The sequence below is a fragment of the Homo sapiens genome, chromosome 14 (genome assembly GCF_000001405.40).
Source record: "Homo sapiens chromosome 14, GRCh38.p14 Primary Assembly".
NCBI classification, from domain to species: Eukaryota; Metazoa; Chordata; class Mammalia; order Primates; family Hominidae; genus Homo; species Homo sapiens.
The window spans coordinates 100132907-100142240 of NC_000014.9; the positions used below are offsets into that span (position 1 = coordinate 100132907).

At 56.4% G+C, this 9334-nt stretch overlaps 1 protein-coding gene across 11 annotated transcripts in view, besides 3 other annotated features; it reads left to right on the forward strand.

Annotated features, from left to right (window-relative positions):
* EVL (Enah/Vasp-like) overlaps positions 1–9334 on the forward strand; it is a 172815-nt gene that overhangs the window by 161485 nt on the left and 1996 nt on the right. For 5 of the 11 annotated variants that reach the window (NM_001330221.2, XM_005267749.4, XM_047431460.1 and 2 more), the window contains 5 exons: positions 2999–3062; positions 4672–4738; positions 4834–4896; positions 8274–8340; positions 8830–8887. In NM_001330221.2, coding sequence (NP_001317150.1) covers positions 2999–3062; positions 4672–4738; positions 4834–4896; positions 8274–8340; positions 8830–8887 — 319 coding nt within the window. The other 6 variants (XM_047431464.1, XM_047431462.1, XM_047431463.1 and 3 more) reach the window with 4 other exon arrangements.
* Positions 5448–6153: an enhancer, noted in NCBI's record as "H3K27ac-H3K4me1 hESC enhancer chr14:100604691-100605396 (GRCh37/hg19 assembly coordinates)". NCBI's record gives its function as "activates a minimal SCP1, AML or CMV promoter by ChIP-STARR-seq in naive H9 embryonic stem cells {active_cell/tissue: H9 hESC(naive)}" and the evidence as "EXISTENCE:reporter gene assay evidence [ECO:0000049][PMID:30033119]".
* Positions 5482–5631: an enhancer, noted in NCBI's record as "active region_9023". NCBI's record gives its function as "activates an Ori minimal core promoter by ATAC-STARR-seq in GM12878 lymphoblastoid cells {active_cell/tissue: GM12878}" and the evidence as "EXISTENCE:reporter gene assay evidence [ECO:0000049][PMID:35858748]".
* Positions 6154–6858: an enhancer, noted in NCBI's record as "H3K27ac-H3K4me1 hESC enhancer chr14:100605397-100606101 (GRCh37/hg19 assembly coordinates)". NCBI's record gives its function as "activates a minimal SCP1, AML or CMV promoter by ChIP-STARR-seq in naive H9 embryonic stem cells {active_cell/tissue: H9 hESC(naive)}" and the evidence as "EXISTENCE:reporter gene assay evidence [ECO:0000049][PMID:30033119]".

The following is a 9334-nucleotide window of genomic DNA, read 5'->3' on the forward strand; positions in this document are numbered from 1 at the left end:
GGAGGGGCGGAGGGTCTCTGCGGTGCTTGTCCCTGCGCCACCCTGGCCCCAGCAGCAGGCCTGCCCTCACTGAGCACCCCCTACCAGACACTGCTCCACCCTTGGAGCTGCAGCCTGAGGCGCTGGCCGCTGCACCGCAGGGCTACCTCGCCTTCCCAGGAGCCCCGGGGAGCACAGACCAGCCAGGGTCTCGGCGGGACTGGGACTCCAGGAGTACACTGCAGAGGGGCACGTCTGCCAGAAGCCCAGAGAGGTTTTTATTTTCAAATTATTTCTGTTTCTAAAGACTCCTCTTCCAGCAGGAGCTTCAGGTGAGCTGTGGCAAAGGAGCCCTGGACCCCTGGCTCTTGTCCTTACCAGGCAGCCCAGAGCCAGCCTGGCTGCCAGAGCTCCCAACATCTGCTTCCAGTTAGGGCGGCTAATTCTCTTTTCCTCCATGTTAAGCTTTTCCTATAAAAAGACTCCTACTGACAGGGCTAAGTTTAGCCTTAACTACAAATGCCTTGAAGGTTCCACCTCAGTGCAGAATCAGAGAGGAAATAAAACTGCCAGGGACCAGAGCAGGCTTCCTGCCCTGTCCTCCCATCAGTCAGGGTCATGCTGGTGTTACCCTGAGGCTATAGCCCTCCCAGCTGATCCACGCCTCTCAGCCCCGTCCTGGGCACATATGGGTCCCTTTGCCCCACCAGCCAACTCCCATTCAGCCTGCACTTCCCTGCATCACCCTTACACCTTAAAAAACAGCCTCCCGGCCGGCTCAACACTTCACACTTGTAGTCCCAGCACTTTGGGAGGCCGAGGCAGACGGATCACCTGAGGTCAGGAGTTTGAGACCAGCCTGGCCAACATAGTGAAACGTCATCTCTACTAAAAATACAAAATTAGCGGGGCATGGTGGCGCATGCCTGTAATCCCAGCTACTCGGGAGGCTGAGGCAGGAGAATTGCTTGAACCTGGGAGGCGGAGGTTGTAGTGAGCAGAGATCGCACCATTGCACTCCAGCCTGGGCAACAAGAACGAGACTCCGTCTCAAAAACAAAACAAACAACAACAACAAAAAAACAGCCTCCCGACCCCCAGGCCTCACAAAGCTCCTCACTACTTGATCCCAGCCCCGGTCTTCTCCCGAGGCCCTCTGCACAGGCACGACTGCTTGTGGAGACTCGTTGTCTCCTGCCAGATCTTAGGCCCTTGGAGGGCGAGGCCTGGGCTTCTCACACGTCCACCATTCCCATACCTTGCACATGCTGTGGAGTTTAGCCAACTGACTTGCCATGAATTTCTGAAATTGCAGGCCACGGGATAATCACAGACATCAAAATACTGTGGCCTCGCTCCAGCCACAGCCCTGGGGATCTGAAGACATCGCTGGCCTTTCTTAGTCAGGTGCCAGTATGTTGCAGTCCCAGCCCCTGAAAACTAAAACTCTCGCTCCTGGAGCTCTAAGAAGAATGGATTTCAAAGCCCAGGGGCTTCTGGAAGAGGAACATTCTTGAAACCTTCAACCCCAAGGATAGCACTCTCCTCCTCAGACCCCCATCTTTTCTGTCTTGTTTTTCACAGGCCCCTGGCTACAGCTGGTTCTTGTTTGCCATGGTCCCTTCTCATACCCAGGACTAGCGTCTAAAGAGAGCAGGGCCTTCAGAAGATCCACACACCACACAAGTGCAGTGGGAGGGAGAGAGGCTGATGGCCGGCACTCGTTTTCTTGTTCATGCTTCCTGGTATTTCCCCAATTCTCTGCAGTGAACATGCACTAAGTTTATCATTAACAGAGAAGAAAGAAGGCTTATTTGAAAGACGAAAAGAGCCCCAAATGTGGAGTCCGGTGACTTGGGCAGGCCCTCTGCCATGGCAGAGCTGGCCCTGGGCCAATGGAGTTACTGCTCCGAGGACCAGTTCCACCACCTGAAAACCTGCACCCAGGCATGGCCGCCTCACAGACTGTGCGACTGCCAGAGGTGGGGTGCAAGTCTCTGTGCCCAGGGCCTGGGAGTGCTGCGGCCACCTCTTTCCCAGCCTAGAGTCAAAGCATAACTTCCCTTTTAAGCAGGGAGGGTTTTAAAAAAATAACATACAAGAAAAGATGATAATTTTTTAGTGACTCTGATGTCACCCTGTATCGCTTTCATCGTGGCCCCCACATGTGTGTGTTGATTGACATAATCTGTTATTCAGCTGTCTTTAAAATGAGGAGGCCTGAGAACCTCATCCCAGCACCTGCAGGCTGGCACCTGCTTTTGCCTCTCGACCAGAGCCTCCCGGGACTTACTCGTTCACCACACAGATACGCAGGGCGTTCCTGATTCTCGTGTGGGGATGTAGTGAGCAGAGGAGACAAAGCAAAGACCTCTGCCCACGGTGACAAGGGAGAGGTTCTTTGCTTCAGATCAGAATGACACATCAGGTTGGGTGGCCGCCTGTCAACAGCTCAAATGCTGTGCATTCTGCTTCATCAAGTGGAAGGATTACTCTTATTACTTAATCAGTGGCATGTTCCTGATGCTGAAAAACCATCCTGACGCACATGCCATGCATGATGAGTGTTAGGTGTCCCCACTGCTGGATGAACACGTCCACTGTTCGAGCACTGCCACAGACCTATTACACGGGCAGGTGTGTGTGCTGCACAGGGGGAGCAGGCCAGTCCACGGGGTGCTCATGAGAAGTCAGTGAGATGACATACGGGAGGCATCCGGCCCAAGGGGGGCTCAGGGCTTGCGGGTGTTGAGGGCCAGAAGGAAGTTCTATATCACCCTGCTGAGAGCCTGTAGCTCCCTGTAGCCTTCCCCTTCCCCAGCTTTGTCCACTGGCTCGATTCTCTCCCCACTGAGATTTTGCGTTTTCACTTTTAAATATTTAATGTTTTGCTAATTATAAAAGTCATATGTGTTCATTGGGAACATTTGGAAAACTGAGGTTTTATGAAGTGTCCAATGATGTCCTGCCCTGGCCCCAGGTGGCCTTCCTAAACAGACTCCCTTCTTCTCCATTTTAGGAAGATCCTAGTACCTCCCCCTCTCCGGGGACCCGAGCAGCCAGCCAGCCACCTAACTCCTCAGGTGAGAGGGCGCCCCCCGCTGACCCCAGTGAGGCATGAGGTCTCAGAGTGGGAGGGGGGACCCTTCGGACAGGACCCTCTGATCCAGCCTCTTTAGTATGCCTGAGCAGAGGGCCAGGCCACAGGGAAGCCCATTTCTTATGGGTCCCCCAGAGCCTCCCCCAGGAGCCCATGTGGGAGCACAGGAAGTGCTAGAGCAGAGCCACTGTGATGGGTCCCCAGGGTGACCTGCGTGTCACCTTCCCACCAGGACCCTGAGTCCCGCACGAGAGAAGGCACTTGCCTGACGGCACATATTCAGGGTGGGAGTTTGTGTCCAGGGCTCCTGAGGCAGGCTGGGGCCAGTGCTCTTAAGAGGTATCAGTGTCAGGACTCATGTCTCCCAGTGAAACGCCAGCTGATGACCGACATTACAGAGATGGCAGTAGATCTCGCTCCACCCAAAACGCAGCCCCTTCCCTGGCTCAGGTTTCTCTCTGTCTAAGCTGTGGCAGATGGGAGGTAGTTAGGAGAGTATGATGAGGCTTCGCAGGGGAGGAAGACCCCAGGGTTGGTTGTTCATTCGACAAACATCTTTGCAGCACCTGCTCTGTGCCAGGCCTGTGCTCATGAGCACAGCGAGGAGAGACAGGGGCATCAGGCTGCCCTAGCTGGGCAGAGGAGGCTCTTGCCAGCTGTTCGCGTGTGTCTCTGGGGCATGCTCAGGTTGGGTGTCGCCTCCCTGTGAAACTGCACGCCATGTCCTCTCCTCCTAAGATTTTTGCCTGGTGTCTTGATTTGCCAGGATGCATAGGTTCCTGGCTGATGAACGTGATCAATACCCCTGCCCTGTTTGCTTCTTCCAACAGCCCAGTGAGTGGGCTACGTGGTTCCCATCTGTGTGCAAAGTGGTTTGCTCAAGGCCACACACCTGGGACATGTCTGTAGCCCCAGGTCTAGTGCCTGCAGGCCCAGCGCCTGTCCCAGAAGGTGGCTTTGAGGAAAACTGCCTCAATCCCACCGTTGGTCCGCAGGGTGCCAAGGCTTAGCTCTGGGCCAGGCAGCTGCCCCACTACCCCCTAGAGATTTTGTCTTCTGCCTCTGCTTGTCCTGCACAGTCAACGAATTCAAGTTAATGCAACAAATCTTTTGGAGTAGAACAAAATATAATCCAATACCACTTAAAAAAGACAAGCCAGCCAGAATGGGACAGAGCCAGGCGCAGCATGGGAGGCAGACTAAGGAGCCCCTCAGTAGCAGGTGCCGGGCCGAGGGGCCTGGCCGCCACACCACACGTGGGAGCAAGGCTGTGCTGGGATGTCCGGGGAGGTCGTGCTTGCTCGCCCTGTGGCTCTAGTCACTGGGTCCCTTACCAGCAGGCTCACATTCCAGAGAGACCTGGCACAGTGAAGGGCTCAGAACCAGATCACAGGTCAGGGTCAACCTGACCTAGGCCATGGGGGACTGAGAACAAGGTGCCAGGTTTTGGCTTAACTCAATCAGACCTTCCTGCCACGGGGCTCTGCACCCTTGGCATGGGTGAGGGCTTCCTGTTGGGGTGTTTAGGGGATTGGGGTGGCTACTGAGTCCCTTCACCTGTGAGGTTCTTCATCCATGAAATGAACTGACAGAGGCTGGCCGGAAGCCCTGGGAGCGGAGCAACTCGGTGGAGAAGCCTGTGTCCTCGATTCTGTCCAGGTGAGCTGCCCCAGGAAGGCCTGAGCAGCGAGGCTGGTGGGGCAGAGGCGGGCGCTGGCGCCGATTCACATGTCTGTTTCATTCCATTGCCGTAGAACCCCGTCTGTGGCAAAGAGCCCCGAAGCTAAGAGCCCCCTTCAGTCGCAGCCTCACTCTAGGTACCGAACAACCCTCCTGCTCACATGTCCCCCAGGGTTTGGGGCTCCTCTGTCCCCCGTCCCGTGACTAACACCCTTGCACGCTGTCTCACGTCCTGGCATTTAACAACTTGCTCTGCGAAGGTGGTCTGTTCTTTCAGACCCAGGACCTCGGGGTCCTGTCAGTCAGCTGCTCCGTCTTTTCCCTCTGAGAGAGAGACCAAGGGCAAGGAGGGCAGTGACCTGTCCACAGAGGTAGTGCAGGGGGGGGCCAACATGGAGTCCCAGCTCTGGACTCACTACGTGTGACAGTGGGCAAGTTAGGGGACCTCTCCAAGCCTCTGTTTTCCCCCCACAAAGTGAGGTCTGTTAACCCCTGCTGCACAGGGTGGTGGTGGGGACAGCTGTGAGCAACAGCTGGACATGGGGTGTGGTCACTAGCCAGGGCTGCACCCTACAGTTCAACCAGTCCTAGCACTGGCGCTGAGCCCTACCCCTTTCCTCCAGCCCAGAGTCCTTCCTCTGCGGCCGGCACACAGAATCAGTTTCCCCACAGACATACTGACCATATTTCCCAAGCCAAAAGCTGGCATGACAACATGATAGAATATTTGGAACTGAGATTGCCCAAAAAGGCAGAGGCAGCCAGCCACATAGTATCTGGAGGTACATGTGGCCTGAATTGGAAGGCCTCTAGAACCTGCGTCAAGAATGTCTCCATCGCCACCACAAATTGAAGGGAAACCACCCTTATCACAGAGCAGGAGGCATTGAAACTGGCCTTGCAGAGCTGAACAGGTGGTGAGAGCAGAGCAGTGCAGGTGGACAGAGATGAGGAAGTCTTAGCAGTCAGCTGGGGTTTGTCCAAGGCTTGTGGTCAGCCAGGCCGTGTGCTGGGGACAGTCCCTGCCTGCAAAGAGCACCGTGTGAACAAGGCCACTGTGGTCCTGAGGGGTGCTCTGGACAGGGTGCAGGGCCACATGGTGGAAGGGACAGGGTGCTTTGCGGAGTGGGGTGGGGCAAGCCTCTGTCGGGAGCTGGCATTTTCGTTGACCCGGACGAGGAGGAGTCTGCTCTGCGGAGATCATGGGGACAGCCTCCCAAGCTGAAGGAAGGGTAAGTGCCAGGGCCCTGAGCCTGCAGCCACCCGCCAAGCTCCCCCGCACCTCCACCTGGAAGCAGACAGGCCATGGGGCAGGGGAACGGGAAGGGTGAGGAAGAGGGTGTGGGGGAGCGCGGAGTTAGAAGTTTGCATTGTGTTCATGCGCAGGGCCCAGTCATGGAACTTGAGGCACAGGGTGCCATGGTGGAGGCTGGGAAGGGGAAGGCAACCAGAGTGGGCAAAACGAGGGCCCTGGAGCAGACACGGCAGCAAGGGGAGCCTGCAGCGCTCCCAGCGGACTCCGCCACGTCCTGCTGGTGGAGCAAAGGCGGGCTGCCATGTTGTGAGTGGCCAAGGGTCGCTCACTGGGCAGGAACATTGTCAAGGCCATTCATGCTTGGAATAGGGTCTCTCTTCAGCTCTGAGGCAAATCTGTTCTCTAATTTTCAGATGACTTCAAGGGGAACGTGTACCACCACCCCTCTGGTGCGTCACATTGCTTAGGAAGCCTGCTGTGTTTATCACTGGGTGGCTGTCAGGGCTGAGATGGAGAGGGCCAGGGCCTGGCGAGGTGGAGCAGTCGGCCCAGGTGTCCCAGCAATTGTTGCTGGAACAGGGTCTGGAACCCACAGGAGAGGCCTGAAGGACCCAGGGCCCTCTGGCTGGATGCGTTTGCCTATCAGGACCCAGAATTACTTACAGACCTGTTTAGGGCTAGGCTTGGCCTCTTTCTTGAGCTCATCTGGAGGGGTGTGGCAACACTCATTCTTCATCCTTATTCTCCCTGGCTGTGGGCAACACTGGTCCTCAGTGTCACCAGATGGTCCTCCTCTGTGCCCATGACCCCTCAGCAGCCAAGGCTGGCCCTGCCAGATAAATGTGTGTGCCCATGATCACACCCAGGGGCACAGGCCACATACGTTTCCCTGAAACCTTGGGCTCCAGCCTCCATCCCGTCCATGTGGGAGGGAACTTGGGTCCCAGCAGTGTGTCTTTCAGCACCAAGTCATGTTTAAAAGACCAGAGAGACAAGCATTTTGCCAAGATCTTCCAGGGAAGATGCATGTGTGACACATTAACATTCAAATCAGGCCAGCGCGGTGCTCATGCCTGTCATCCCAGCACTTTGGGAGGCCGAGGCGGGAGGATCACTTGAGCCCAGGACTTGGAGACCAGTCTGGGCAACACAGTGAGACCCCATCTCTACAAAAAGTTAAAAAAGAAAAAAAAAAGGGCACATGTCTGTAGTCCCAGCTACTCGGGAGGCTCACTTGAGCCTGGGAGGTTGAGGCTGCAGTGAGGCATGATACGCCTCTGTACTCCAGCCTGGTTGACAGAGTGAGACCCTGTCTCAAATAAGTAAAAATAAAATTCAAATCGGTTACCTTAGTTTGGAAACTTTTCAAAGAAGTAGTCCACGAGAACTACCTTGAAAGAGCAAAACCAGCCAGGTGCAGGGGCTCACGCCCATAATCCCAGCACTCTGGGAGGCCCAGGTGGGTGGATCTCGTGAGGTCAGGAGTTCAAGACCAGCTTGGCCAACATGGTGAAACCCCATCTCTGCTGAAAATACAAAAGTTAGCTGAAAATACAAAAGTGGCACATGCCTGTAATGCCAGCTACTGGGGAGGCTGAGGTAGGAGAATTGCTTGAACCTGGGAGGCAGAGGTTGCAGTGAGCCAAGATTGCGCCATTGCACTCCAATCTGGGGAACAAGAGCAAAACTCTGTCTGAAAAAAAAAAAGCGACACCACATGGGAGGATGTTTCTTGGGGGAGGTGTGCTATGCCCGAGCAGGCTCCAGCACCAGGGGCGCTGGTGTGTCAGGAGCGCGCCTCCAGGCCGGTGTGAACTCTGCAACTTCACATTGTGCCTCCTGCCGCCGCTGCTGCTTCCCCGAGCCCCAAGCTCAACCTGGAGCATGAGCTCCCACCCTGAGGAGGAGGCTGTCAATACTGTGTTTCTTTCCAGGGAGGCAACGGGTGGGTGCGATGTTGTCACTTAAGTTGCCACCTCTGCATAAGAGCTCTCTGATCAGAAAGCAGTTTCTTTGTTGACCCCAGCCAGCCTTGGCTCTCGGGTTGGGAAATACAGTCACGGTATCCATGGAGACCTCTTGAGGTGGAGACGGGCGTTAAATCCTTCTCAGGCAGTCTGAGGTGGCCAGAGTCTGAAGCAAGCAGCCTCTATGGAGCGAGGGGAGCAGGTGGGCCCAGCCTGAGCGGGGCCTCTGCACAGCCAGCTTTCCCCCACACCTGTCTCCAGCCAGGGCACCCACAGGCCCTTTCTCTCCCAGGATGAAGCCTGCTGGGAGCGTGAATGACATGGCCCTGGATGCCTTCGACTTGGACCGGATGAAGCAGGTGAGCATGCCCTGTGCCCTTCCCTCAAGAGGCTGAGGGCAGCCAGCAGGCGGGGGACCGTCTCTGACCAGCATGGCCAGGCAGGCCCTGGGGGCCCACATGTAGCTGCCAAAAGGCCAGTCAGGGAGCAGCCACGGCAGAAAGGGGGTGCCCAAGCCTGTCCTTTGTCCCCAGCCCCTGCCATCACCAGAACTAGGATGTCCCTCAACCTTTCTGGGCACCTCCCTCAGGCCTGCCTCTGGGGCTTTCTGCCCCGAGGAAGCCCTTAGTTTCAGTGGCGTCTACCTGAGGGAGGTGGCAGCAGGATTTTCCCAGGCCTCCCATGCCGTCCCCCCTCAGCGTGGGAAGGGGGCCACGAGGAGACAAGGGTGACAGATGCAACTCTGGAGAGGCCCAGGAGACCCCAAGCCCTTTGGACATGGCCCAGCCCAGGCCGGCTTTTCCGTCTCCACTGCCTGTCCCTTCACCTGGACACTCCTCTCCCAACAGGAGATCCTAGAGGAGGTGGTGAGAGAGCTCCACAAGGTGAAGGAGGAGATCATCGACGGTGAGTGCAGCCCCACCGGGGAGGGTGGCACCCAGGTGTGGCCGCAGGACAAGGGTCCCTGTCACCCAGGCTGGGGGCCTCCAGTTTTGAGCTGGAGCCCATACTGCACTGGGCCCTGTGAGAGATTTCATTCTTACCATCTCTAGTTGAGGAAACAGGCTCAGGAAAGCTGAAAGCTAAGTGGCTTGCCTAAGAATTTGTAGCTCCCTGGTAGCATGACACCCGAATCTGACCTTCCACATCCCCGGCACCTTCCTGGAAGACCCACGTGGGAAGAGCATGGAGGGGAGACCCCAGCATCGTTCCAGAGCCAGGTCTGGAGGAGCCACCTGAGCTGCTGTCATTCCACCCCCTGGCGGTTTATACTGCCTTCTTGATACTGCCACCTCCAGTCACTGGTGTTGGGCTTCTGAGGTGACCACTCTGCCTTCCTGGGGGTACAGGAAG